Source organism: Homo sapiens, chromosome 3 (genome assembly GCF_000001405.40).
Source record: "Homo sapiens chromosome 3, GRCh38.p14 Primary Assembly".
Classification (NCBI taxonomy): Eukaryota; Metazoa; Chordata; class Mammalia; order Primates; family Hominidae; genus Homo; species Homo sapiens.
Genome location: NC_000003.12, coordinates 49,904,149 through 49,931,850, shown reverse-complemented (window position 1 = coordinate 49,931,850; position 27,702 = coordinate 49,904,149). Strand labels below are relative to the sequence as shown.

The window sequence follows — 27,702 nt, the reverse complement described above, 5'->3', positions numbered from 1 at the left end:
AGCCAGGCATGGTGGCTTATGCCTGTAATCACAGTACTTTGGGAGGCCAAGATGGGAAAATTGCTTGAGGCCAAGAGTTCGATACCAGCCTTGTCAACATAGCATAGTGAAACCACCATCTCTAAAAAAAAAATAAAAAAAGAAAAAGAAAAAGGAAAGGAACATAGCCAGGACATTTCTGTACCAAGCAGAGAATGTTATATCTTGACTTAAACTCTCCTTCCTTCCTTCCTTCCTCCCTCCCTCCCTTCCTTCCTTCTTTCTTAACTTTCTCCTTCTTGTTGTCCATGATCATGGCTCACTTCAGACTTGATCTCCTGGGCTCAAGTAATTCTTCCTGCTTCAGCCTGTGGAGTAATTGGGATTACAAGGCTGTGCCACCAAGCCCAGCTCATGGCTCAAACTCTTATAGTGTAATAATTAGAGAAAACAACTGTATAAATGATTCTTGCCCTAAGGGAGGGAACTTGGACTTCTGAGCTAATGAGGAGATAAAATACTGAGTGATCTGTGGAGACCTGGAGAGACTCTCAGTTAAGGAATAGGGCATTTTCTTATGTCCTTACCTAAAAGTGGGGGACATGGGGGTGAGAAAGCTTCCCTTAGACTATGTGCAAGAACTTGATAGCCTTATGCAAAGCCATCTTCAGTGAAAGGCCACAGCTTTGTCACCATGTCAGTCACAGGCCAGTGTTGTGGAAGCAGGCTACAAGTGGCAGCCATCTGAGACTGGAAGAAAAGCCCAGGGGCGGAGCTCTACCCTAACTCCAGTGTAGGGCTTAGAGAGGAAAAGGACACTGCCCCCAGGTGCTTGTGGAGCAGCAGGGAAAGTCAGAGGAGTGATCTGACTTTTTTTTTCATCCTATTAACTTTTGGGAGAATTAACCATAAGGCTGTAAAGTGAATTAATTGCTTCAGAAAAGAACATGAGCAGTGGTGCCAAACACTAATTTTACTTTTTAAAACCATCTCTAAAAATAAGGGTCTTTTGGGAGAGCCTGTTGTTGACTGTTTTCCTGTTGTTTTTATTGCTTTGCGTCTAGGAAATTACAAACAATGATTCTTTGCAATGGTAAATCACCTGGGGAGCTTTTAAAACAATAGTGATGCCTGGCTCCCCAACACTCCACCCTACTCTAAATTCAATTAAATCAAAATCTCTAGGGCTGGTGTCCAGGCATTAGTTTTTTTGTTGTTGTTTTTGAGACAGGGTCTCGCTCTGGTGCTCAGGCTGGAGTGCAGGGCATGATCATGGCTCACAGCAACCTCGACCTCCTGGAATCCCACTTCAGCCTCCCGAGTATCTGGGACTACAGGCACACGCCATCAAGCCTGGCTAGTTTTTGTATTTTTAGTAGAGATGGGGTTTCACCATGTTGGCCAGGCTGGTCTGGAACTCCTGACCTCAAGTGATCCGCCCACCTCGGTCTCCCAAGTGTTGGGATTACAGGCGTGAGCCGCCTCGCCCGTCCTAGTTCTTTTTTTTTTTTTTTAAAGCTTCCCGGCTTATTCTATGTGCCGTCAGAGTTGAGAACTACCGTTCTAGAGCATTATACTGATACATTAAAACGTGGCTACAAATATGTTTTTAGAAACAATTAGTGCGACTTTTGCGCATGCCCACATCCTTTACAGCCTGTGTGGCTGGGCCCACTAATGACATTTATCCAGTCCCCCAAACTTGCACTGTCCTTCCACAATCAGTGGGAGAAACAATCCTAACGTCCCTTTCTCTCACTTGAAATGAACTGCTAGCTGGCTCGGACGGAGAGGCCCAGAGTCCAGGGCTGTTCTGTGTGGGACTCTAGACTCGGAGGAGGCGCCCAGGCCCCTAGAAGGCGGCGCCGGATGAGGCAATCGCGGACCCGGGTCAGGACCTGCCCACGGCTCTGCTGGGACTAGGAGCCCAGAACCAGTCCCTCGGCGCCGCAGGCGGCCAAACGCTAAGGACTACATTTCCCACAATGCACCCCGGGGGCGGGCCGAGTCGGGCTGAGCGGCTGGAGCTGGGCCTTGGCCGCGAGAGGCCGGCGAAAGCTATCTTCCTGCACCGGCGGCCGGGTGAGGGCGGTGGGAGGGAGCGGTGCCTGCGCTGTGGCCATGTCTGTGTACGCAGGGGGCCGGGGCCCCGCGAAGCTGTGCCCTCAGGCCGGCCCCGGCCGGACACCCTTACCCCTCCATGGGTCCGGCAGAGGGCAGTGACCGGCACCTTCTGTGCGTCCTGGACTCCTCTGAGAAACAGGTGAGTTGACTGCCAGCCCACGTGGCCTGGAGGCACCTAGAGACTGGAGAGCTGTCATCTTTGGAGGGAGGGGCTTGAAGACGGGGGCCTCCAGCCATCAACGCTATCGTTTGCAATGGGAAGACTGTGTCTCCCTGCGGTCCCTCAGCCGGCTAGTCCCCAGCTGGGGAATACAAAAGGCGAGATCTGGAACCCATCCTTTGGCTGGGAGGGCGAGATCCGGTAGGGGGCAGTGGCCAGGTAGGACTCTCCCCACTCCCCCACCCCCGCCCCGCCAACAAACGTACACATATTCGGCCGGTAGAGTCTTCTCAAAAAGCAACAGAGGTAACTGGGATGAGCGGGGCAGCACCTGGAAGGGGCTTGGGTCTTTGCTTTGTTGTTTTTAGACGGAGTTTCACTCTTGTTGCCCAGTCTGGAGTGCAGTGGTGTGATCTCAGCTCTCTGCAACCTCCGCCTCCCAGGTTCAAGCGATTCTCCTGCCTCAGCCTCCCGAGTAGCTGGGATTACAGGCATGCGCCACCACGCCCAGCTAATTTTTTGTATTTTTGTATTTTTTTAGTAGAGACGGGGTTTCACCATGTTGGCCAGGCTCGTCTTGAACTCCTGACCTCAGGTGATCTGCCTGCCTCAGCTTCCCAAAGTGCTGGGATTACAGGCATGAGCCACTGCGCCTGGCCGGACTTTGCACCAGTTTGCCTGGTGCAACTGGGTTGTCCCTTGTACTGGGTGAGCCACCCTTTCTGGGCACAAGTTTGCAGAGGGAGAGTGAGCACCCTTTGTCAGGGAGGGAAGTAACCGCCAGAAGTGACAAGGACCAGACTGTGATCTCAGCATGGAGTAGGCATCCTGCTGAAGCAGCCATAGCACAGCCTCACCTGGGCCTTGTCTGCCACACATCCTGTATCCTGGCACCTCCTTTCCAGACAGGCCGCTCCAAAGGGTTAAGGTGAAATGAAGTGCTATCCAAGCAAGAAGAGGGAGCAGGAGTGGTAGGGAGTCAGTAGGGAGGGGCTTCTGAAGGCCTTCTCTGCTCCAAGGCTGCCTGAGTGAGAGAGGCACACTACAAGGGCTGATTGAGCCAACTTGTTTGGTGACATTGCTCACAGGCATAGCAGGGCACTTCTAGGAAAAGCAAGGCCTGGGGCTTCTAGAGGGGTTGTCTGAGAAGGGTTCCCTGAGAAGGGGCATCTGGGGCTGGTTCTAAGAGACCTCCTTTGCCTAACTTCTTCAATTCTAGCCTCCCAGGAGCTTCAGTTGCACAGTTGTGGCTCCAATGGGGGTTGGGGTGGATTTTGCTGTGATTCACTCAGCCTCCCTGTCTGAGTTTCCAGAGTAAGTATTCAGAGAGCTGTTTGCTTCATCAGGCCTCTGGCTGGACCCCAGACTGACCTAGGAGATGCTGAGATACTGTATGATCTCAGGTGGCAGGAGAACTATTGTGAAGGAAGCATCCACTAGCTCTGGCCAGCTGATCTGGCCCCCGCCAACCCTTCCCCATGCAGGTACCGTGCTGGGTACCACTCAGCCACACTGGGCTTAGTCAGCTAAAGCCCACAAGGGATCAGTGGAGAGTGGGCCCTGAGGACAGAATAAGTAAGCTATTGTAGACCTTGTTTGGGTCTTTGAACCAAAAGTGCAACGTCACAGAGCAGTGGCATGTGGCAGACCAAGGAGTTTTTTGTTTTTTTTTGTTGTTTTTTTTTTTGAGACAGAGTTTCAATCTTTTGCCCAGGCTGGAGTGCAATGGCGCGATATCAGCTCACTGCAACCTCTGCCCCCTGGGTTCAAGTGATTCTCCTGCCTCAGCCTCCTGAGTAGCTGGGATTATAGGCGCCTGCCACCATACCTGGCTAATTAAGGAGTTTAATTTAGGAGATACTTCCAAGAGCAGCAGAGAGCCCGTTGTCTATTCCTGCAACTCCAGAGCCAGTGAACAACCAGTTAGCCTGGAGGAACTCCCAGCTGTCTATAAGACAGCTCTTTGACCTGACTCCCAACTGTCTATATGATAGCCCTAGCCTGAAGGTGAGTCGCTTCAGGCTAGGGCCCACCTGGCTTTGCAAGGTCAGAAGCGTATTTGCCCATATGCCACTGTAGGCTGAGCAAAATCTCAGAGGCCCGATTTACATGGCACAGACCACTGGATTCATGTGGTATTATAAGTGCAGTCACACATGGACTGAATGCTAAGTAAGAATAATCAGGATGTGCTAATGGGAGCAACTGAGTATGTAATCAAATTACATGGATTATTTCATTTAATCTTCCCACAACCCAAGGAATCAATACTACTATCCCATTTTATAAATGAGAAAACTGAGACCAGGCCAGGTTAATCCAGGTCCCTCTAACTTCGGAGCCATTGTTCCTGAACACCTGAGTAGTACCAGTGATAAGTCTTCCCCACAGGCAGGGGTTTCCAGAGGCCACATCACAGGTGTGACAGAGCTGGGCATTCTTCAGAGATCTTTCAGTTTTCCCTTCCATTTTTCTTTTTTAATTGCCTGAGGGATAAAAACACAAGTTCAGCTGGGCGCGGTGGCTCATGCCTGTAATCCCAGCACTTTGGGAGGCCGAGGCCGGTGGATCACCTGAGGTCAGGAGTTTGGGACCAGCCTGGCCAACATGATGAAACCCCATCTCTACTAAAAATACAAAAATTGGATGGGCATGGTGGTACACACCTGTAATCCCAGCTACTCGGGAGGCTGAGGCACAAGAATTGCTTGAACCCAGGAGGCAGAGGTTGCAGTGAGCCAAGATCATGCCACTGCACTCCAGCCTGGGCGACAGAATGAGACTCCATCTCAAAAAAAAAAAAAATCTCCCTCCCAAAGATGTCTGTTGGCTGGATGTGGTGGCTCACACCTGTAATCCCAGCACTTTGGGAGCCCTAGGAGGGAGGATCTTCAGTTCAGGAGTTTGAGAACAGCCTGGACAACATACTGAGACCCCATCTCTACAAAAATAAAAATTAAAAAATTAGCCAGGCGTGGTGGCACGTGCCTGTAGTCTCAGGTACTCAGGAGGCTGAGGTGGAAGGATCATTTGAGCCTGAGAGGCCAGGGCTACAGTTAGCTGTGATTGCATCACTGCACTCCAGCCTGGGTGACAGAGTGAGATTCTGTCTCAAAAAAAATAGAACTCCTCCCGCATGTGGCTTAAAGCCATACTGAAATTTGTGGTAGGTCACAGGGTAACCTTCAATCCAGAGAAATAAAGCAGGGCAAGAGGGGTAAGGAGCAGGGATATTGATAAGGTAATGCTTGAGCAGCAACCTGAAGGGAGTGAGGGACTGAGTCACATAGATAACTAGCCCAGGCAATGGAGTAGGTGAAGTGGGGTGCAGGGGGAAAGTTCAGCAACGGCAAAGTTCTAAAGTTAAAGAGTGCCCAGGAGGCTTAAGGAAAGCCAGGAGGCCACTATGGCTGGGCTGAATCACAGTTAGTGGGGAAAAAGGATAAGAGATGAGGTCAAAGAAGTAATGGGGAAGGAGTTATGTTGAGTGGGGCCTTGTGCACCACTGTGAGGAAATTGGCTTTCTCACTGAGTAAGGTGGGACCATTACAGAGTTGTGAGCAGAGGAACTGCATGACCTGAGTTCTGTATCAAGAGAATCACTTTGCTGTAAGAAGCACAGATTATGCAGGGACAAGGGCAAAAGAGGGGAGACTAGATAGGAGATTACTGCAACAATCTCCTAGAGAGACACTGGTGGCTTTGACCACAGTGGTAGCTGTGGAGGTGACAAGTGGTCAGATTCTGGATATAGGCATTTCCCACTTAACATCAGTAATCTGTTTCATGAAAATTGGACATTCTGTGTGAAATCTTCAACTTAATATATTTTCCATTGATTGATTGATTGAGACAGGGTCTTGCTGTGTTGCCCAGGCTGGAGTACAGTGGCACAATCACGGCTCACTGCAGCCTTGACCTCCTGTACTCAAGCGATCCTCCCACCTCAGCCTCTTAAGTAGGTGGGACTACAGGCATGAGCTGCCCCACCCAGCTGATTTTTTATTTTGTAGAGACAGGGTCTCACTATGTCAGCCAGGCTGGCACTCAGTAATTTTCTATCAGTTCTATTTGGAATATAATTTGAAGCTTTAAATGCACATTACTTTGTTAAAAATATAGATAAGATTTTAATGATGTAAATATACATATTTTCTGTATAAACATACACTGGGCCAGGTGTGGTGGCTCACACCTGTAATCCCAGTACTTTGAGAGGCTGAGGCAGGCAGATCACTTGAGTCAAGGAGTTTGAGAGCAGCTTGGGCAACATAAGGAGACCCTGTCTCTACAAAAAATTAAAAAATTAGCCAGGCATGGTGGCACATGCCTGTGGTCCCAGCTACTTGGGAGGCTGAGGTGGGAGGATCACTTGGGCCTGGGAGGTTGAGGCTACAGTGAACCATGATCACACTATTGCACTTCGGCCTGGGTGGCAGAGTGAGACCCTGTCTCAATAGATAAATAAATAAACATAAGCTGAATCAACATAAGTTTGGTATATTAGTTAACTATTGCTGTGTAACAAATTATGCCAAAACTTAGCAGCTTAAAACAACAATATTTATTATCTCATACAGTTCTTGTGGGTCAAGAATTTGGGAGTGGCTTAGCTGGATGGCTCAAGCTCAGGGTCTCTTATTACGTTGAAGTCATCTGAAGGTTTGACTGGGCCTAGATGATCTGCTTCCGAGATGACTCACTCATGACTAGCAAGTTGGTACTGGCTGTTCACAGGAGGTCTCAGTCCCTTGCCATGAAGTTCTCTCCATAGAGCTGCTTACATGTCCTTACAACATGGCTGATGGCTTTCCCTAGAGGGAATGATCCAAGAGAACAAGGCAGAAGCCACAATGTCTTTTATGACCTAGCCTCAGAAGTCACACATTGTTTTTTCATTTTTTTTTGAGACAGGGTCTGCTCTGGCACCCAAGCTGGAGTGCAGCAGTGCGATCTCAGCTCACTGCAACCTCTGCCTCCCCCCGGGTTCAAGTGATTCTCATACCTTAGCCTCCCAAGCAGTTGGGATTACAGGCGCCCGTCATGACACCTAGGTAATTTTTGTATTTTTAGTAGAGATGGGGTTTCACCATGTTGTCCAGGCTGGTCTCAAACTCCTGACCTCAAGTGATCAGCCCATCCTGGCCTCCCAAAGTGCTGGGATTACAGGCATAAGCCACTGTCCCCAGCCACACATTGTTATTTACACAGTGTCCTATTGGTTGCATAGGTCAGCCCTGCTCAGTGTGGAAAGGGAGTATGCAAAGTCGCATAGCAGGAGTTGAGGATTACTAGAGACCATCTTGAAGGCTGACAACCAAGCTGGATATTAAAAACAAAAAGGCATTCTATGGTGAAAATGTTAACTAGAGACATTTTGCTGGATGTGCCTGTATTCTGAAATAGAGCTAACAGGATTTGCTGATGGTTTGGTATATGAGGTGTGGGGAAAAAAAGAGAGGCGTAAGGGATGACTCCAAGGTTTTTTGTTTTTTTTTTTTCCTATGAGACAGAGTCTCGCTCTGCCACCCAGCCTGGAGTACAACGACACGATTTTGGCTCACTGCAACCTCTGCCTCTCCAGTTCAAGCAATTCTCCTGTCTCAGCTTCCTGAGTAGCTGGAACTACAGGCACGTGCCACCATGCCCGGCTAATTTTTTGTATTTTTAGTAGAGACAGGGTTTCACCGTGTTAGCCAGCAAGGTCTCGATCTCCTGACCTCATGATCTGCCTGCGTCGGCCTCCCAAAGTGCTGGGATTACAGGTGTGAGAAACCGTGCCCGGCCGACTCCAAGGTTTTTCACCAAACAACTGAAAGAATGAGATTGTCTTTCTTGGCCAGGTGAGGTGGCTCACACCTGTAATCCCAGCACTTTGGGAGGCCAAGGTGGGCAGATCACAAGGTCAGGGGTTTGAGACTAGCCTGGCCAACATGGTGAAACCCTGTCTCTACTAAAAATACAAAAATTAGCCAATGTGGTGGCACACGCCTGTAGTCCCAGCTACTCGGGAGGCTGAGGCATGAGAATCGCTTGAACCTGGGAGGTGGAGCTGAGATTGCGCTGTTGCACTCCAGCCTAGGCAACAGAGCAAGACTGTCTCAAAAAAAAAAAAAAAAGAGCTTGTCTTTCTTTCGTTCTTCCCTTCCTTTCTTTCTTTCTTTCCTTCCTTTCTTCCTTTCCTTCCTTTCCCTCCTTCCCCTCCTTCCCCTTCCTTCCTTCCTCCCTTCCCTCCCTCCCTCCCTCCCTTCCTTCCCTCCCAGAGTCTCGCTGTGTCACCCAGGGTGGAGTGCGGTGGCGCGATCTCAACCTCCACCTCCCGGGTTCAAGGGATTCTCCTGCCTCAGCCTCCCGGGGTAGCTGGAATTACAGGCATGCGCCACCACACCCGGCTAATTTTTTGTATTTTTCATAGAGATGGGGTTTCACCGTGTTAGCCAGCATGGTCTCGATCGCCTGACCTCATGATCTGCCTGCCTCGGCCTCCCAAAGTGCTGGGATTACAAAGTGTGAGAAACCGTGCCCGGCTGACTCCACGGTTTTTCACCAAACAACTGAAAGGATGAGATTGTCTTTCTTGGCCAGGTGTGGTGGCTCACACCTGTAATCCCAGCACTTTGGGAGGCCAAGGCAGGCGGATCACCAGGTCAGGGGTTTGAGACCAGCCTGGCTAACATGGTGAAACCCTGTCTCTACTAAAAATACAAAAATTAGCCTGTGTGGTGGCACACGCCTGTAGTCCCAGCTACTTAGGAGGCTGAGGCACGAGAATTGCCTGAACCCAGGAGGTGGAGCTGAGATCGCACTGTTGCGGTGAGCTGAGATCGCGCCATTGCACTCCAGCCTGGGCAACAGAGCAAGACTGTCTCAAAAAAAAAAAAAAGAAATTGTCTTTTTTTCTTTCGTTCTTTCCTTCTTTCCTGGCTTCTTTCCTTTCTTCTTTTCCTTCCTTTCTTCCTTTCCTTCCTTTCCCTCCTTCCCCTTCCTTGCTTCCTTCCTTCTTTCCTTCCTTCCCTCCTTCCTTCCCTCCTTCTTTCCCTCCCTCCCTCCCTCCCTCCTTCCTTCTCTCCCTCCCTCCTTCCCTCCTTCCTTCCTTCCTTCCTCCCTTTACAGAGTCTCGCTCTGTCACCCAGGGTGGAGTGTGGTGGCACGATCTCAACCTCCGCCTCCTGGGTTCAAGCTGGAGTGCGGTGGTGCGATCTCAACTCTGCCTCCCAGGTTCAAGCGATTCTCCTGCCTCAGCCTCCCGGGGTAGCTGGGATTACAGGCATATGCCACCACACCTGGCTAATTTTTTTATTTTTAATAGAGACGGGGTTTCACTGTGTTAGCCAGGATGGTTTCGATCTCCTGACCTTGTGATCTGCCCACCTCGGCCTCCCAAAGTGCTGGGATTATAGGCGTGAGCCACTGCTCCCGGCCGTCTTTCTTTCTTTCTTTTTTTTTTTTTGAGACAGAGCTTTGCTCTTATTGCCCAGGCTGGAGTGCAATGGCGTGATCGTGGCTCACTGCAACCTCTGCCTCATGGGTTCAAGTGATTCTCCTGCCTCAGCCTCCCAAGTAGCTGGGATTACAGGCATGCACCACCACACTTGGCTAATTTTGTATTTTTAGTAGAGATGGGGTTTCACCATGTTGGCCAGGCTGGTCTTGAACTCCTGACTTCAGGTGATCCACCCACCTCGGCCTCCCAAAGTGCTGGGATTACAGGCATGAGCCACTATGCCCAGCCATGAAATTGTCTTTTACTGAGATGGTGAAAACTCTGGGAGAAGTGGTAAGTGCCTGTAGTCCCTGCTACTCGGGAGGCTGAGGCAGGAAGTTCACTTGAGCCCAGGAATTTGAGGCTGTAGTGCATGGTGGGGTGGTGATTACACCTGTGAATAGCCACTGCACTCCAGACTTGGTGACAGAGCAAGACCCCATCTCTTAAAAAAAAAAAAAAAAAAGTGCTACCACGCCCGGCTAATTTTTTGTATTTTTGGTAGAGATGGGTTTCCCGTGTTAGCCAGAGTGGTCTCGATATCCTGACCTGGTGATCCGCCCACCTCAGCCTCCCAAAGTGCTGGGATTACAGGCGTGAGCCACTGCACCCGGCCTTTTTTTCTTTTTAAAGACAGGTTCTCTACCAGCCAGGCGTGGTGGCTCAGGCCTGTAATCCCAGCACTTTGGGAGGCTGAGGCAGGCGGATCATGAGGTCAGGAGGTTGAGACCATCTTGGCTAACACGGTGAAACCTCGTCTCTACTAAAAAATACAAAAAATTAGCCGGGTGTGGTGGCAGGCGTCTGTAGTCCCAGCTACTCGTGAGGCTGAGACAAGAGAATGGCATGAACCCAGGAGGTGGAGCTTGCAGTGAGCTGAGATCGCGCCACTGCACTCCAGTCCAGGCGACAGAGCGAGACTCCATCTCAAAAAAAGAAAAAAAAAAGGAGACAGGGTCTCACTCTTATTGCCGAGGCTGGAGTGCAGTGGCACGATCTTGGCTCATTGCAAGCTCTACCTCCCGGGTTCCTGTGATCCTCCCACCTTAGCCTCCTGAGTAACTGGGACCACAGACACGTGCCACCACGCCTGGCTAATTTTTGTATTTTTGTAGAGGCAGGGTTTGCCATATTGCCCAGGCTGGTCTTGAACTCCTGGGCTCAAGTAATCTGCTTGCTTTGGCCTCCCAAAGTGCTAGGATTACAGGTGTAAGCCACCATACCCAGCTAGGAGCAACTTTTTAAGGAGATGACCTTTTTTTTTTTTGATGCAGAATCTGGCTCTGCTACCCAGGCTAGAGTGCAGTGGCACGATCTTGGCTCACTGCAACCTCCGCCTCCCACATTCAAACAATTCTCCTGCCTCAGCCTCCTGAGTAGCTGGGATTACAGGCGTGTGCCACCACACCCAGCTAATTTTCATATTTTTAGTAAAGATGGGGTTTCACCAGGTTAGCCAGGCTGGTCTCAAACTTCTGACCTCGTGATCCACCCTCCTCGGCCTCCCAAAGTGCTGGGATTACAGGTGAGAGCCACCACGCCTGGCCAGGAGATGGCCTTTTTAAGGAGTTCAGTTTGAGGCATATAACCTTGAGATAACATGAAGTAGACAGTTAAATGTGTGTGCCTCTTTAAGTCAGAAAAGATATTGGGGCTGGAGATTAAAAAAAAGTATTAATATGTAGAGGGAATTTAAAACTATGAGACCAAATGAGATCACCAAGGGATTGAGTGAAGACAGAGAAGAGGTCCAAAGACTGAATTCTGTGCCCCTTTACAGTAAGAACTGCAAAAAGGACTCAGAAGGAGTAGTCCATGAGGTCAGAAGAGAGCCAAGAAAGGAGTGGTATGCCATAAAAGAGGAGAAAATGTTTCAAGAGAGAGGAAATAACCAAATTATCTATTGTTTATGGGTGAAGTAAGATGATCCTGGAGGTCGTTGGTGACCTTGATGGGAGCAGTGTTGATGGAGTAATGGAGGTGAGATTCTGTTCAGAACTGGTTTAGAGAGAATGGGAGAAATGGAGAGGCTACGGCAGAGACAATTCCTGCTTTCCAGATATCCGTGAGCTCCATATATTTCCCAGTCCCTCTGGCCACATCACTGGTTCTGGCCAATGTGAGCTACGAAGTATTTAAGAGCTGGTACATGATCCTCCATCTCTGTCTTCCCTTGCCAGGTGATGTGGAAGGCATGTGTTCCGAATGGCTTCTATAGGGTGCTAGTGGCTTGGATTCCTGAATCACTGCTTGGAAGGGAGCTACTCTGAATTGCTACCAGTCCCACAGTAGATTTTATGTGAGCAAAAAATAGGTCTTTGGGGCTGGGTGCGGTGGCTCATGCCTGTACTCCCAGCACTTTGGATCCGTGAAGGTGGGCGGATCACCTGAGGTCAGGATCACCTGAGACCAGCCTGGCCAACATAGTGAAACCCCGTCTCTACTAAAAATACAAAAATTAGCCAGGTGTGGTGGTGGGCGTCTGTAATCCCAGCTGCTCGGGAGGCTGAGGGAGGAGCATCGCTTGAACCCAGGAGTCAGAGGTTGCAGTGAGCGGAGATGGCGCTGCTGCACTCCAGCCTGGGTGACAGAGTGAGACTCCGTCTCAAAAAATAAAAAAAGATCTTTGGGTGTAAAACCTGTAGCATTTGGCATCCATTTTTTACACAGAATAGTCTAGCCTACCTGACTAATGCAAACTCCAAATATTATTTGCCATTTTGAGGGGGTTTGTTTGTTTTTTTATAAAGGGCAACAGAAAAATGGGTTGATAGCTAGTGGGGAATGTAGAGTTAAGGGGAAGTTTGTTTTGTTTTAACTTTGAAGTAAAACAAACATATAGAAAAGTTCACAAATCATAAGTATAGCCCAGTGAATTATTACAAAGCGAACACCCCCAAAATTGTTTGGTTTTTGTTTTTGAGACAGGATCTCACTCCCTTTACCCAGGCTGGAGTGCAGTGGTGTGATCACCACTCACTGCAGCCTGGACCTCCTGGGATCAGGTGATTCTCCCACTTCAGCTTCCCAAGTAGCTGGGACTGTAGGTGCATGCCACCACACCTGGTTAATCTTTTGTACTTTTTGTAGAGATGGGGTTTTACCATGTTGCCTAAGCTGGTCTCAAACTCCTAGGCTCAAGTGGTTTGCCCACCTAGGCCTCCCAAAGTACTAGGATGACAGGCATGAGCCACCAAGCCCTGCTGGGAGGGGGTTTTGAAGACAAGAAATATCACCATATTGGTAATGGATAAGGGAGAAGGGGAAACTGATGAGGAGGGACAGCTGCTGAAGCCATGTACCTGAGTAGGTGAGAGGGGCTGGGCTCTGGTGTACACATGGAGGAGTTAGCCTCTATGGAGCATGAACAGCTCATCTTTAGTAAGAAGAGGGGGCCAGGCACGGTGGCTCATGCCTGTAATCCCAGCACTTTGGGGGACTGAGGCGGGTGGATCATTTGAGGTCAGGAGTTTGAGACCAGCCTGGCCAACATGGTAAAACCCCGTCTCTACTAAAAATACAAACATTATCCGGGCGAAGTGGTGGGTGCTTGTAATCCCAGCTACCTGGGAGGCTGAGGCAGGAGAATCGCTTGAATCTGGGAGGTGGAGGTTTTGGTGAGCCAAGATCGTGCTCCTGCACTCCAGTCTGGGCCACAGAGTGAGACTCTGTCTCAAAAAAAAAAAAGAGGGAAGGCCTATTCTGGCAGATGAGGTAAGCTCGTGGTGGTAATCTCCGGAAGTTCTTTTTTTTTGTTCTTTTTTTTTGAGACAGAGTTTCGCTCTTGTTGCCCAGGCTGGAGTGCAGTGGCATGATCTCGGCTCACTGCAACCTCTGCCTCCCAGGTACAAGCAATTCTTCTGTCTCAGCCTCCCAAGTAGCTTGGATTACAAGCACGTGCCACCACACCTGGCTAATTTTTTTTTATTTAGTAGAGATGGGGTTTCACCATGTTAGTCAGGCTGGTTGCGAACTCCTGACCTCAGGTGATCCACCCACTTTGGCTTCCCAAAGTGCTGGGATTACAGGTGTGTGCCACCGCGCCTGGCCTTCTTGTTTTTTTTGAGACGCAATTTTGGTTTTGTTGCCTGGGCTGGAGTGTAATCTCGGCTCACCACAACTTCCGCCTCCCGGGTTCAAGTGATTGACCTGCCTCAGCCTCCTGAGTAGCTGGGATTATAAGCATGCTCTACCATGCCTGGCTAATTTTTTGTATTTTTAGTAGAGACAGGGTTTCTTCATGTTGGTCAGGCTGTTCTCAAACTCCCGACCTCAGGTGATCTGCCCGCCTCGGCTTCCCAAAGTGCTGGGATTACAGGCGTGAGCCACCACACTCGCCCCGGAAGTTCTCTTCTAACGACTTCTGTCTTCTCGGTGAAATGGAAGGCAAGGTCATTTGCTGATAGTGCTGAGTATGACCATCAGGGAAGGAGATGATGGATGTTTGAAGAGAGAAAAGGTGTGAAGTTGACTAGAGGAGTAGGAAAGTGAGGAGACATAGAAATGTAGGGCATTCCGGCCAGGCGTGGTGGCTTACGCCTGTAATCCCAGCACTTTGGGAGGCTGAGGCGGGTGGATCACCAGGTCAGGAGATCGAGACCATCCTGGCTAACACAGTGAAACCCCGTCTCTACTAAAAATACAAAAAGAAATTAGCTGGGCGTGGTGGCGGGCGCCTATAGTCCCAGCTACTCGGGATGCTGAGGCAGGAGAATGGCATAAACTGGGGAGGCAGAGCTTGCAGTGAGCCAAGATAGCGCCACTGCACTCCAGCCTGGGCGACAGAGCCAGACTCCGTCTCAAAGAAGAAAAGAAAAGAAAAGAAAAGAAATGTAGGGCATTCCAGGCCGGGTGCTGGCTCACAGCTGTAATCCCAGGACTGTGGGAGGCCAAGGCAGGCAGATTGCTTGAGCCCAGGTATTGGAGACCAGCCTGAGCAACATGGCAAAACCCTAATTCTACCAAAAAATACAAAAATTATCCACGCATGGTGGCTCACGCCTGTGTTCCCAGCGACTCAGGAGGCTGAGGTAGGAGGATCGCTTGAGCCCAGATAGGCCTGGAAGCCCTGGCCACAACCCTGGTACTGTCAGGAGCAGCTTACTCTTGGCCTGCACTTGGGCAGACTCATCTCTCAGAGCCCACTCTGGCTTTTAGGATAGCTTTGGAATTACTGGTCTATGAGATTTACGTGGCCTGTGTGTTCTTGCGCAAGACTTAGACATGCCCTAGTTTCCTTGGCATTCAGCATCCTGGGCCTTGTGGTGTTGTGGTGGTTGTTTTGGATTGCTCCTCTTAGTCTCAGTCTCAGAGGGGACCTCTGTGGATGCTACCGCAGGTTCCTGTTGAGGGCATGCAGCCTCTTAGTTCCTCTGGCCCACTGTCTGACAAGGCAGCCTGCGCCTTTTCCTTCTGGGCTCTGACTCTTGCTGGGAACCATTACTCTTGATTGTCCTGATGGATGGGACTGGGGGCCTAGAAAATCCCCAGATTATCTCCCCAACCTTCTTTCTTTGGTTTTATTCTGTGTGGGGTGATGCTGTTGGCAGTGGTGCCCAACCCTCCATGTGCTCTGCGGTCCTTCAGGCTCAGTGCAGGAGTGGCCACCAGGCCAGCTGTCAGGATACAGGCTCTGCTTCCCTATCTGTTTGCACGTGGAGCTTCTGCAAAAGATTCAATTAAAGAAAGAATTACATAGCTTAAAGGTGACAAAAAGAAGAGGTTGAAAATTAGTTCTTTGGGCACACACATAGGAGCTGCCTGACTGGAGCTATGCCAGGTCCAGAGAGAATGTTCTTGGACACAGACTGGCTGATGCCACACAAATGCTACTGATGGTGATGCTATCTGTTTGGGACCACCCTTTTCATGAACTTTTTTGAACACCTACTTTATGCCATGCTTCCAGGGAAGAGTCATTTGCCCAAGGTTACACAGCTAGGAGGGGACAAGAGCTCAGTTATTCCCACCAGACTCTGTGTTCTGGGATGCAGGCTCAGGTCTACTTTGCTCACACTAACACCAGTGCCTCCTGGGCCCCTGGCCTGCCTGCAGTGTTTGCTCCATGAGTCTCTGCCCTTCTAGTCCATCCAGCTAGATCCCTCTTTCTTAAAGGATTGGTACCTGGAATGGATCCCCTCTTGGGTGAACTGTATGTTGCCTGACAAGTGAGGATCCTTCAGCCTGCCATTGAAGGACCCTAGAGGCCAAATAAGCCTTGCTACCAGCCTCGGTGAGCCACCCAGCTAGCTCTGTTACCACTGACATTCACTTGTGGCCACCTCCACCTGGGCCTGGGGCTGTGGAAGGACAAGGAGATCCGGCTGAATCTATCCTGGCCATTACATGGGCACTGAGAGTTGACATGTCTATAGTTGTTTTTAATTGTTAAGACAACTCCTTGTGCCAAATTCAAAAGGTACAAAAGGATATTTAGAGAAAAGCAGGGCTGCAGCCTGAAGACAAGCCTGTTGCCTGTGTCTCACTTTTTTATCTGCAAACACCTAGATATCCAAAAAGAACTATTGGTCAACTTAGTTAATTTTTATTTTTATTTATTTTTAGTTTTAGTTTTTTGAGACAGGGTCTCACTCTGTTGCCTAAACTGGAGTGCAGTGTTGTAGTCACAGCTTACTGCAGCCTTGACTTGCTGGGTTTATGTGATCCTCTCATGTTAGTCTCTCTAGTAGCTGGGATTACAGGCACATGCCACCATGCCTGGCTAGTTTTTAAAATTTTTTGTAGAGACAGGGTCTCACTTTGTTGCCCCAGCTAGTGAACTACTGAGCTCAAGTGATCCTCCCTCTTTGGCCTCCAATCTTTGCTAAGATTACAGGAGTGAGCCACTGGATACAGGATACAGAGTTGTTTCAACTCCCAGATCCAAATCCAGCACTTCTTTCCTGTAGTAACATTGGGCAAGCTCCTTAAGCTCTCTCAGTATCAGTTCTTTCATCTATAAAGCTAGCCTGACAGGAACACATGCCTCATAGAGGCGTGATCAAGATTAGGTAACTTAATCCACAGAAACCTCTTAGCATGATACGCTGACACTGAATAACTGTTAGCTGCTGCTATCAGTTTGTTTAATTATTTACATTTTATGTACATTTTCTAAAAGACCAGGCTGGGCATGGTGGCTCATGCCTGTAATTCCAACATTTTGGGAGGCTGAAGTGGGAGGATTGCTTGAGCCTAGTAGTTTGAGACCAGCCAGGGCAACATGAAAAGACCTTGTCTCTATAAAAAATACAAAAATTAGGCGGGCGCAGTGGCTCACACCAGTAATCCCAGCACTTTGGGAGGCCAAGGCAGGCGGATCACAAGGTCAGGAGTTCAAGACCAACCTAGCCAAGATGGTGAAACCTTGTCTCTACTAAAAATATAAAAATTAGCTGGATGTGCTGGCAGGTGCCTGTAATCCCAGCTACTTGCAAGGCTGAGGCAGGAGAATTGCTTGAACCCAGGAGGTGGAGGTTGCAGTGAGCTGAGATCGCACCACTGCACTCCAGACTGGGTGAGAGAGCAAGACTCCATCTCAAAAAAAAAAAAAAAAAAAAAAAAATTAGGCAGGCGCAGTGGCATGTGCTTGTAGTCCCAGCTATTCAGGAGGCTGAGGTGGGAGGATGGCTTAAGCCCAGGAGGCAGAGGTTGCAGTGAGCCAAGATCACGCCACTGCTCTCCAGCCTGGGCAAGAGAGCCAGACCTGTTTCAGAAAAGAAAGGTGGGGCACGGTGGCTCACACCTGTAATCCCAGCATTTTGGGAGGCCGAGGCAGGCGGATCACTTGAGGTCGGGAGTTCGAGAGCAGCCTGACCAACACAGAGAAACCCCGTCTCTACTAAAAATACAAAATTAGCCAGGTGCATGCCTGTAATCCCAGCTACCCCGGGAGGCTGAGGCAGGAGAATCTCTTGAACCTGGGAGGTGGAGGTTGCGGTGAGCCGAGATTACGCCATTGCACTCCAGCCAGGGTAACAACAGCGAAACTCCGTCTCAAAAAAAAAAAAAAAAAGAAGAAGAAGAAAAGAAAATTAGCTGGCTGTGGCATGTGCTACTGGGAAGGCTGAGATGGGAGGACTGCTTGAGCCCAAGTCAAGGCTGCAGTGAGCTGTGTTGGTGCCATTGCACTCCAGCCTTGGCAACAGAGTGAGACCCTGTCTCAACAACAACAACAACAACAATCTGCCGAGAGGGGCAGATCACTTGAGGTCAGGAGTTCAAGACCAGCCTGGCCAACATGGTGAAACCCCGTCTATACCAAAAAATACAAAAATTAGCCAGGCATGATGGTGCCCACCTGTAGTCCCAGCTACTTGGGAGGCTGAGGCACGAGTATTGCTTGAACCCCGGAGGGGGAGGCTGCAGTGAGCCGAAATTATGCCACTGCACTCCAGCCTGGGCGGCAGAGCGAGACACTGTCTCAAAAAAAAAAAAAAAAAAAATACTAGAAGGAAATACACTAACGTATGAACAGTGAAAGATCCTGAATGGTAGGAAAATCTTGATATTTCTTTCTACTTTTCTGTGCTTTCCAAGTCTTTTTTTTACAATGAATATGTCTTCCTTTTATAATCAGAAAAGGAACAGTATATATTTTTTTGAAAGGAATTCTCAGAATCCATTTTCTAGAGATTTGAGTTAGTGGAGTCCTGATAAAGGACACTTTCCTGTACTTACTACCACTGTTGATTATGCCTGTGACCCTGCCAAAAGCCATCGATGTTGCATTTGTTTGCCCCACAGGAGAGCTCAAAGGATGGCTACTGACATGCAGAGGAAGAGAAGCAGCGAATGCCTTGATGGCACATTGACTCCTTCTGATGGACAGAGTATGGAGAGAGCTGAGAGCCCCACACCAGGAATGGCCCAGGGAATGGAGCCAGGTATGGGCAAGTGTACAGCCTCAGCCAGCTGCCAACCAGAGCAGTCTCCAGGGGGAATTAGGATTCCCAACCACTTTTTCCTTTCCACTTATTCATGCATTTGTCAGTCACTCATTGGATATTTGTCAGGTTCTGGGGATAAGGCAGGAGGCCAGGCTCATTCTGCATCTGGCTTTCCTCTCCACTTCATGTTATGCTGCTCGCCCTGAGCTTTCTGGCTGCCATTGTGGGCTCTTCTGTTCCCTGTGTCTACAGCGCACCTCCCCGGCTCCTTCTCCCCTCCTCACGAGTTAGGCCTGCTCTGACCATGCTCTGTATAGCACACTAATTATTTCATAATTTTATCTCTTTATGCATATATTGCCCATCTCTCTCTTCCACAAGATTGTGAACACTTTGAGCGCAGAGCAGTTATATCCCCAGTGCCTGGTACAGGGCTGAATTCGCAAGAGAGACTCAAAATATATCTGTTAAACTATTTTGTCAAAAAATCAATAAAGGAAGACTGACCTGGTCCCTGCCCTGAGGCAGTCACAGGCTGCGGCGCCATTATAGTGGGGTCAGTCAGGAGCTATGGCCTGAGTAGGGTAGGGGAGCTTTCTCCCAGAGAGAGAGATTCATTGAGTATGGGCAGTGCTCCAGACACAGGGTGAGGTGCTGCGTTCCGGCACCTTACTGGGTACCATTGTAGTTGGGGAGAAGGACAATAACTGGCAAGTGCCACAAGAGAAATCAAAAAGGGATATATAGAGTGCCTGGGGTTGGAGGTCAGTAACTAACATCTTCCCTGAGAGCTTAAGTGTGACAATTAGCCGGCCTCTTGGGGAGGTAGGAGACAGCTGACAGCAGGTGTGGAGCTCCTGAGGCAGGTGGGGGTGTGTTGAAAGTATCTGAGAGCAGATGGATGTAGGCCAGTGTGACCAAGATGGGCAAGGGAGTGGGGTGGGAGATGGGAATGAGAGGTAGGCAGATACCAGCCACCACTGCTGCCATGAGTGGTTTGGGTCTTCTTTCCAGTACGATGAGAGGAGACTGGTGGGCTGTAAGTTGCAGAGAAGCATCATCCATGGCAGACAGTGGCAGAAGGGAACAGTGGCTTGATCCTAACAAGACAGGCAGTCATGCTGGAGTGACCACGTTAGGCACCTTGCTGGTAGGAGTGTCTGCCACTAGCTACCCCTCTAAGCACCAGTGCTTTTGGCCTGCAGGTGCGGGCCAGGAGGGTGCCATGTTCGTCCATGCCCGTTCCTACGAGGACCTGACTGAGTCAGAGGATGGGGCAGCTTCTGGGGACAGCCACAAGGAGGGTACCAGGGGTCCCCCGCCGCTGCCTACAGACATGCGCCAGATCAGCCAGGACTTTAGCGAGCTAAGCACCCAGCTGACGGGTGTGGCCCGGGACCTGCAGGAGGAGATGCTGCCAGGAAGCTCTGAGGATTGGCTGGAACCCCCAGGGGCAGTTGGGCGACCAGCCACAGAGCCCCCCAGGGAGGGCACAACCGAGGGGGATGAGGAGGATGCCACGGAGGCATGGCGCCTGCACCAGAAGCATGTCTTTGTGCTGAGTGAGGCAGGGAAGCCTGTGTACTCCCGCTATGGGTCTGAGGAGGCACTTTCCAGCACTATGGGTGTTATGGTGGCCCTGGTGTCCTTCCTGGAGGCAGACAAGAACGCCATCCGCTCCATCCATGCAGGTGAGCCACCTGGAGAGGGAATGGGGCGGGCTCCCCTGGCCAAGGTTCATTCATAGCAGGTTTTGGACCCCTGCAGACCAGAGGGCTGGGATGTGCTGTGTGACTGAGGGTAAGTCCCTCTACCTCTCTGAGCTTCAAGGTCCTCACCTGAACAGAAGATAACAACACTGCTGGCCTCATGGGGCTGCGGCGAGGACCAAAGTTGCCTCTGACATGGGCTTTGCCTTTGGAGAGAGTGAGAATCCCCCTGGGGAGGCAACAACAACAACAACAACAAACTCTATCTATCTATCTATCTATCTATCTATCTATCTATCTATCTATCTATCTATCTAATCTATCTATCTCCCAGGTCCTGAGCTCCACCCAGCCAGCCCTTGCCAGTTGCCAGTTGACTTAGCACTTAGCATAAGAATGTGTGTTTCAGAGGGAGCTAGTCTTTGAAGCAAGTGGCAGGGATAGGCCCTGAGCCCTCAGGGAGAAGGAGCAATGGGTTTTTATCCTGAACATCCTTAAACCCCTACTGTGCGCAGAGCTCTGAGCGAGGAAAGGATGGGGAAAGCGAAGAGCTGCGCTGGAAGGCGGTTTTCGGAGGGAGCTGCCGCTGAGGCTGACATCCTTCTTTCCTGTCCCGCTCTCAGATGGCTACAAGGTAGTATTCGTGCGCCGGAGCCCGCTGGTGCTAGTGGCGGTGGCTCGTACGCGGCAGTCGGCACAAGAGCTGGCGCAGGAGCTGCTCTACATCTACTACCAGATCCTAAGCCTTCTTACCGGTGCGCAGCTGAGCCACATCTTCCAGCAGAAGCAGAACTATGATTTGCGGCGCCTACTCTCGGGCTCAGAGCGCATCACCGACAACCTGCTGCAGCTCATGGCACGAGACCCCAGCTTCCTGATGGGGGCGGCACGGTGCCTGCCCCTGGCGGCGGCCGTGCGCGACACTGTGAGCGCCAGCCTGCAGCAGGCGCGTGCGCGCAGCCTGGTCTTCTCCATCCTGCTGGCCCGCAACCAGCTCGTGGCACTCGTGCGCCGAAAGGACCAATTTCTGCACCCCATCGACCTGCACCTGCTCTTCAACCTCATTAGTTCCTCCTCGTCCTTTCGCGAGGGCGAGGCCTGGACGCCCGTGTGCCTGCCCAAATTCAACGCAGCCGGCTTCTTCCACGCACACATCTCTTACCTAGAGCCTGACACTGACCTCTGCCTGCTGCTTGTCTCCACTGACCGTGAGGACTTCTTTGCAGTCTCTGACTGCCGCCGCCGCTTCCAGGAGCGCCTTCGCAAGCGCGGAGCCCACCTGGCCCTGCGAGAGGCACTGCGCACACCCTACTACAGCGTTGCCCAAGTGGGCATCCCTGACCTGCGTCACTTCCTCTATAAGTCAAAGAGCTCGGGACTCTTCACCAGGTGAGGGAGGGCCTTGAGGGCACTGCTGTAGCGGGACAGGGACATGTGGAGTCGGGAGGCTGTTTGGTCCTGAGCTCTGAGATGTAGCCCTGAAGCTGTCCCTACCTTTGGAAGCAGACCAGTGTGCTGGGCCTGTTTTACTCTGGCACCAGAGACCCAGACTCTCCATCACCCCATGAGCATACCCTCTCTACTTTATTAACCAGAAGGCCTGGAAATGCCCAATATACCCAGAGAAGGAAACTGGAACAGAGGTCTCCGGGGTCCCTTGCCCTGGAGCAACTCTACTTTAGGGGTCATTTTGGTCCAGCTCAGGAAGCACAGCCCTCCTCCACCCCCTCCCCCAGCAGAGGGGCTGGGAAGATATGGCCTCCCTTTGTCCCTTTTGGCCCACAGGATTCCTAGCTCACCTTTCCTCTACTCCAGATCTGTCACTCTGTCTTGGACATCTAAACTCAACCTGGCCTCTCCAAAGAGGGGTCACCAAAGACACTATGAGCTTAGGGGGTAAGAGGGGACATAGCTCTAGTCTCAGTGGGCCCAGCCCTGTCCTGGGGTGCCTGCTATGGTGGGGAGACAATGCCCTGTCCTAAGGGAGCACCTGGAGGGTAGGACATAAGATAGAGTCTTCCTGGATAGGAATAGGTGTTTCTAAATCTCTAGAGAAGACAGTGGAAGTCATTCCTTTGCAAACCCACTCCCTCCACCCTGTCTGCAGCCCTGAGATTGAGGCCCCATACACCAGTGAAGAGGAGCAGGAGCGGCTGCTGGGCCTCTACCAGTACTTGCACAGTCGTGCCCACAATGCCTCTCGCCCACTCAAGACCATTTACTACACGGGCCCCAACGAGAACCTCCTGGCCTGGGTAAGGCAGCCCTGGGATGGGCTGGGCTTTATGGAGGTCCTAGGTATGGGCCATGAGGGGCCTCTAACCTAGATGACGACCCTTTGCCCCTTCTCCAGGTGACAGGCGCCTTTGAGCTCTACATGTGTTACAGCCCCCTGGGGACCAAGGCGTCAGCCGTCAGTGCCATCCATAAGCTGATGCGCTGGATCCGCAAAGAGGAAGACCGCCTCTTCATTCTCACGCCCCTCACCTATTGATGGGAATGTGTGCGGGCTCAGCCTTCCTGGACACACTAGGTGTGGGAAGCCATAGGAGCCTCCAGATGGGGGCTGGCCTCTCTTGCCCAGCCAGCGGGCAGGGACTGTGGGTTGGTGAATGCATTAAAGTGCTTTGGGGAAGACACTTGTCAAGCTCTGTCACTTGTCCCTTCGCCCATCCACCCTCACTCACATACAGACACTGGATCCTCCTCCGTAGCTCCTGCACAGGGACACAGGCACATTTGAGCCCCTCTCCTCCCTCCCTTGCACCAGCATGAGGCCACACACATTCTCAGCTGGATCTTGGGCTGGGGCCGTTTTGGTTTAGTTGAAGTCCTACCATATATAAAAAGTTCTCAGGCACCATACTGCCCTACCCTACCCCCACCCCCATATTCAGTCTGAGCTTCTGCTGTCTGCCTCTCTTATCACTCCTGGGAGGGGCCCCCTGCTGCATGCCACAAAAGACTACTCAACCACCTTCAGAGCCCTCGCTGTGGCTCTGTTTAATGGGTTGCTGTAGTTCAGCAGAAGCTGAGTTGAGTAAGATACAGATGGTCAAAATGGGGGGAGTCTGAGCCCTGGTACTGGATGGAGCCCCTGGTGAGGCAACCCAGTCTTCAGCTGAAATTCAGAATCCAGTCTCCCTTTAGCTGCAGGCCTCTGAGGAAACTGTCCCTGCTCAGGCCTTCCCATGAAGGGCTGTATGCCTCAGTTCTCCTACCTCAGCCAGTGCATTCCTCCAAATGGTCCTCAAGAGTGAGCTGAGGGTCTGAGAGAAGGCCCAGTTGACCCTCTAAGGCAGAAGTGGGCCTGCCATAATAAGAGCTAATACTGCTACGTGCACTCGGCCCTCCTTAGTCACCCTAGTCCCTGGCATGGCATAGGCAGACCTGCATGGGGCACCATGGACATCCAGGAGGCTCGGCAGTGAAAGCCCAGCCCCATTTACTCTACCACAGGACCCAGGGCACAATGCAGAGAGCTTCCACTTTGCTGCCGGGGGATCTTCTAGTTCTGGCCCCAGGGAACACAAGGCCTAGGAAGTACTTATTGGAGAAAACTGTCCTCTGAATGTGGTCTTCAGACTGTCAGAGAGAATCACCCTCATGCAGTTTCTGAGAGTTGAGCCAATATTTTCTGCTACTAAAATCAAGCCATATTGAAGAATGAGCCTGTGTGGGTGACATGGACCCAGGGTACACTGGAACAGTTGTATTTATTGTCCCAGAAAATGGCAGCACAGCCCCTGCCCTTGGCCCCACTGTGGCTCACATTGGAATGGGCATGGCAGCAGGCTACCAGCCCAGATTCCAAAGCCTCCGGGGAGCAGCCATAGGCTTGGTGGGTGCTGTTCACCCTGCACACATGCCCTGGGTCTCTTTTATGCCTGTTTTCTGCTTTTGTTCCTCCCCTGCTCCTAGTAAGAACACCAAACCACTGCCTCTGGGGCCTGGGTGATGCCAAGCCAGCTGTCCCTGATTGTTACTGGCATTCTGGTCAACAGTGAGCCCCTAAGTGCCTCTTTTGGTTGCCCTGACTCTTGTAGGTTTCTCAGCTTCTGTGTAGTTCAGCATATATTCTGGGGAGATCATAGTTGGATAAATGTGTATACCTAGGACTATAGGCACCTAGGAGTGTGGGGTGTACCTGCTTGGAGATCAGGGGTGGGAAGACAGACAAATAGGGAAGGTGTTCGTAGTGGAAGAGCCAGCATGTGCAAAGGGAAGGACCTGGTAAGAACCTAGTACAGGCCGGGCATGGTGGCTCACGCCTGTAATCCCAACACTTTGGGAAGCCAAGGATTGTATATCACTGGAAGTCAGGAGTTCCAGACCAGCCTGGCCAACATGGTGAAACCCTGTCTCTACTAAAAATACGAAAATTAGCTGAGTATGGTGGCGTGCGCCTGTAGTCCCAGCTACTCAGGAGGCTGAGGCAGGAGAATCGCTTGAACCCAGGAGGCAGAGGTTGTAGTGAGCCGAGACTGCGCCACTGCACTCTAGCCTGGGCGACACAGTGAGACTCCGTCTCAAAAAAAAAAAAAAAAAAAGAACCTAATATAACTTGTTTGCAGTGAAGCTGGAGTGGTCCACACAAGGGCTGGGGTTCTCAAACTCCAGGTAACCTGCAGTGTGATGTGGTCATATTACAGTTAGAGAGACTCCCTTGCTACTGCTAAGGTGATCTTGGGATTAGAGAAAGAGGTTAGACCTAGTTCTCTAGAACAGTGTTCAGAGGGGACTGAGAGCTCAAGGAGGGAAAAGTGGCTAGTATTCCTTCAAGGCGTCAGGTGCTAGGGCAGTCGAGCAGGTTCTTAGCCAGCTATGTTAGCTTGGGGGTGCCCTTGTACTTGGCACTTAAGAGTCCCATTAGCTGACCTCCCCCACACACCTTGACTGCCCCCTCCTATAGAGGCGGCAGATGGCGAGAGGGGGAAGGGGTGCTCCTGTGTACCCCTGCTGTTGAGAACCAAGGCTGCCTTACAGGGGACCTCAGCCTGGGGACAGCCATTAGCGCGGCCACACGGTGGCAGCGGAGAACTAACGGATGGTTGCCGCAACACCACCCCCAAAAAGGGGTGGGTGGGGTGATCTAAGAGGGCTTGTGAAGTCTTCTCCCAACCACCAGAGATCCCTCTGAAAGTCTGGAGGTGGGATTTGGGTCACCAGAACCCCTGTCTGTGCGCCAGGCTGAGAATGTTTCATTTTAGTTTTGCCTTGCCTATCTTTAGATGTGTTGACTGTGGAATGCAGGAACCACGCCACGGTTTTCTCCGGGTGTTTATTCATTTCCTGGCCAATTCTGCTTTGGAAAAGGAGTGTCTTTTATGTCACCTCAGGGCACAGTATCAACCCTGCACTGGGTGTGGCCGCCCCCACTTCCATTTCCTCTTTCAGTCTTCAGGTGCTCATGGAGCTCCAGGCTGGAAGGAGGGGGAGTCCTGCACTGGGGATGGAGGAAGTGAAGTATCCAGAGTAAACTGTGCTGGGGTGAGTGTAGCACTGGGTCTGTGAGACCCAGGAGAGGGGACTGGCAAAGTCTGGATCAAAAAGGCTTCCTGGAGGAGGTGCCATTTAGGTGGCAAAAGGAGAAAAGGGAAAGAGTGCTCCTGGAAGGAGGAACAGCACTTACAAAGGTCAGGTTAGGAAGGGGATGCAGGCACAGAAGTATGAACTGAAAGGGGAGTGAGGAGATATAGCTCCCCAAGCCAGGCTAAATCCTGTTGGGCTGAGGGCTCCTCTCTCCCCCAGCCTCCTTATCTACAGCCTTGGGGCCCATAGTTCACAGCCCAGACCCACCCTGTGGACCTTCCCTGTCTTCTAGGGTCCAGGCCTATCTAACTGAGGGGTCTGTCAGGCTAAGGTTGTCCCCCAGGGGCCTCAGTCTAGTGTTGGGGGACCAGTTACCAAGGGGCAGCTGCTGAGATCCAAGTGTGGGACTAGGCTCCCCCACCCCCACTCCTCATAAACAGAAGAGAGAACTCTGGGAAATCACCTAGTCGGAACTACGTTTTCTTTTTCTTTTTTTGGAGATGGAGTCTCGCTCTGTCACCCAGGCTGGAGTGCAGTGGCACAATCTCAGCTCACTGCAACCTCCACCCCCTAAATTCAAGCTATTCTCCTGCCTCAGCCTCCCTAGTAGCTGGGATTACAGGCACCCACCACCACGCCCGGCTAATTTTTGTTTTTAGTGGAGATAGTTTCACCATGTTGGCCAGATCTGTCTGTTCACCATGTTGGTCTTGAACTCCTGACCTCAAGCGATCCACCCGCCTCGGCCTCCCAAAGTGCTGGGATTACAGGCGTGAGCCACCACGCCCGGTCACATATTTTATTTTAAAAACATTTTTAGCAGTTTTTTTGTTTTGTTGAGTTTTGTTATGTTGCCCAGGCTGGTCTTGAACTCCTAACCTCAAGCAATCCTCCTGCCTTGGCCCCTCAAAGGAGTGCTAGGATTACAGGCATGAGCCACGGTGCCCAGCCCAGAACTACATTCTCATTGAAGAGAATAAGATCCAGCAAGGCCTACAGAGCATGTTGGAAGTGTCCTGAGAGCCAAAGCCCATGATTCCTCCATATCAGGGGGGCACTGGGTAGAGCCAGGAAGGAAGGGGGAGTCCCCAAGGCCCATACTGTGGACCCCATTATACAGCTTCCATATACTGAGGCTGCAGAGGAGGTATGGGCCTCCACTTACGTGCCTCTCTGACTCTGAGGTCCAGTCAGCAAGGCCAGATCCCATCCTAAGACCCTTATGGCCCTGGGAGAGCAGGGCATAACACACCTTCCTCTGACACCATCTTGTCGCTGATAGCTCAGGAGAAGCACATGGAAGAATGGTCCCGGCCGGGCGCGGTGGCTTACGCCTGTAATCCCAACAGTTTGGGAGGCTGAGGCGGGCGGATCACCTGAGGTCAGGAGTTTGAGACCAGCCTGGCCAACACTGTGAATCCTGTCTCTACTAAAAATACAAAATTAGCCGGGTGTGGTGGTGCGCGCCTGTAATCCCAGCTATTCAGGAGGTTGAGACAGGAGGAGGTTGAGGCTGGAGAATCGCTTGAACCTGGGAGGCGGAGTTTGCAGTGAGCCGAGATCGCGCCACTGCAATCCAGCTTGGGCCACAGAGCAAGACTCCTTCTCAAAAAAAAAAAAGGACAGTCCTTTCCCACAAAGGGTGGCGCCCCATAACATCTCTTGTAAGTGCCCCACATCTCCCCTCTGGTCTTCCACACAATCCTGGTCTCTGTTCTCCACATGGTGGGCCCCCAGGCCACCTCTGGGCACCAGCCACTGAGGGTGTTGCTACTAAGTGCAAACTAGTTCCACCGCAAGCAAAGAGCCCAGTGTCCTGCCCCCCTT

General features: G+C 51.2%; 1 protein-coding gene across 4 annotated transcripts, besides 6 other annotated features; it reads left to right on the top strand.

Moving 5' to 3' along the window:
* Nucleotides 1,984-2,333: a silencer, noted in NCBI's record as "silent region_14377". NCBI's record gives its function as "represses an Ori minimal core promoter by ATAC-STARR-seq in GM12878 lymphoblastoid cells {active_cell/tissue: GM12878}" and the evidence as "EXISTENCE:reporter gene assay evidence [ECO:0000049][PMID:35858748]".
* MON1A (MON1 vesicular trafficking associated A) lies at nucleotides 2,040-22,978 on the top strand. Of its 4 annotated transcripts, none has more exons than NM_032355.4 (6): nucleotides 2,040-2,242; nucleotides 18,492-18,631; nucleotides 19,840-20,325; nucleotides 20,967-21,732; nucleotides 22,451-22,598; nucleotides 22,697-22,978. In NM_032355.4, the coding sequence occupies exons 2-6, from the start codon at nucleotides 18,505-18,507 to the stop codon at nucleotides 22,835-22,837; spliced, it is 1,668 nt and encodes a 555-aa protein (NP_115731.3). In that variant the 5' UTR covers nucleotides 2,040-2,242; nucleotides 18,492-18,504; the 3' UTR covers nucleotides 22,838-22,978. The 4 variants fall into 4 exon arrangements, with proteins under 4 accessions (NP_115731.3, NP_001135973.2, XP_006713408.1 ...); XM_006713345.5 differs by lacking the exon at nucleotides 2,040-2,242 and adding an exon at nucleotides 2,316-2,482; XM_011534160.2 differs by lacking the exon at nucleotides 2,040-2,242 and adding an exon at nucleotides 2,517-2,569.
* Nucleotides 19,560-20,137: an enhancer, noted in NCBI's record as "H3K4me1 hESC enhancer chr3:49949147-49949724 (GRCh37/hg19 assembly coordinates)". NCBI's record gives its function as "activates a minimal SCP1, AML or CMV promoter by ChIP-STARR-seq in primed H9 embryonic stem cells {active_cell/tissue: H9 hESC(primed)}" and the evidence as "EXISTENCE:reporter gene assay evidence [ECO:0000049][PMID:30033119]".
* Nucleotides 25,449-25,648: an enhancer, noted in NCBI's record as "active region_19883". NCBI's record gives its function as "activates an Ori minimal core promoter by ATAC-STARR-seq in GM12878 lymphoblastoid cells {active_cell/tissue: GM12878}" and the evidence as "EXISTENCE:reporter gene assay evidence [ECO:0000049][PMID:35858748]".
* Nucleotides 25,799-25,958: an enhancer, noted in NCBI's record as "active region_19882". NCBI's record gives its function as "activates an Ori minimal core promoter by ATAC-STARR-seq in GM12878 lymphoblastoid cells {active_cell/tissue: GM12878}" and the evidence as "EXISTENCE:reporter gene assay evidence [ECO:0000049][PMID:35858748]".
* Nucleotides 26,933-27,605: an enhancer, noted in NCBI's record as "H3K4me1 hESC enhancer chr3:49941679-49942351 (GRCh37/hg19 assembly coordinates)". NCBI's record gives its function as "activates a minimal SCP1, AML or CMV promoter by ChIP-STARR-seq in naive and primed H9 embryonic stem cells {active_cell/tissue: H9 hESC(naive and primed)}" and the evidence as "EXISTENCE:reporter gene assay evidence [ECO:0000049][PMID:30033119]".
* Nucleotides 27,594-27,643: an enhancer, noted in NCBI's record as "active region_19881". NCBI's record gives its function as "activates an Ori minimal core promoter by ATAC-STARR-seq in GM12878 lymphoblastoid cells {active_cell/tissue: GM12878}" and the evidence as "EXISTENCE:reporter gene assay evidence [ECO:0000049][PMID:35858748]".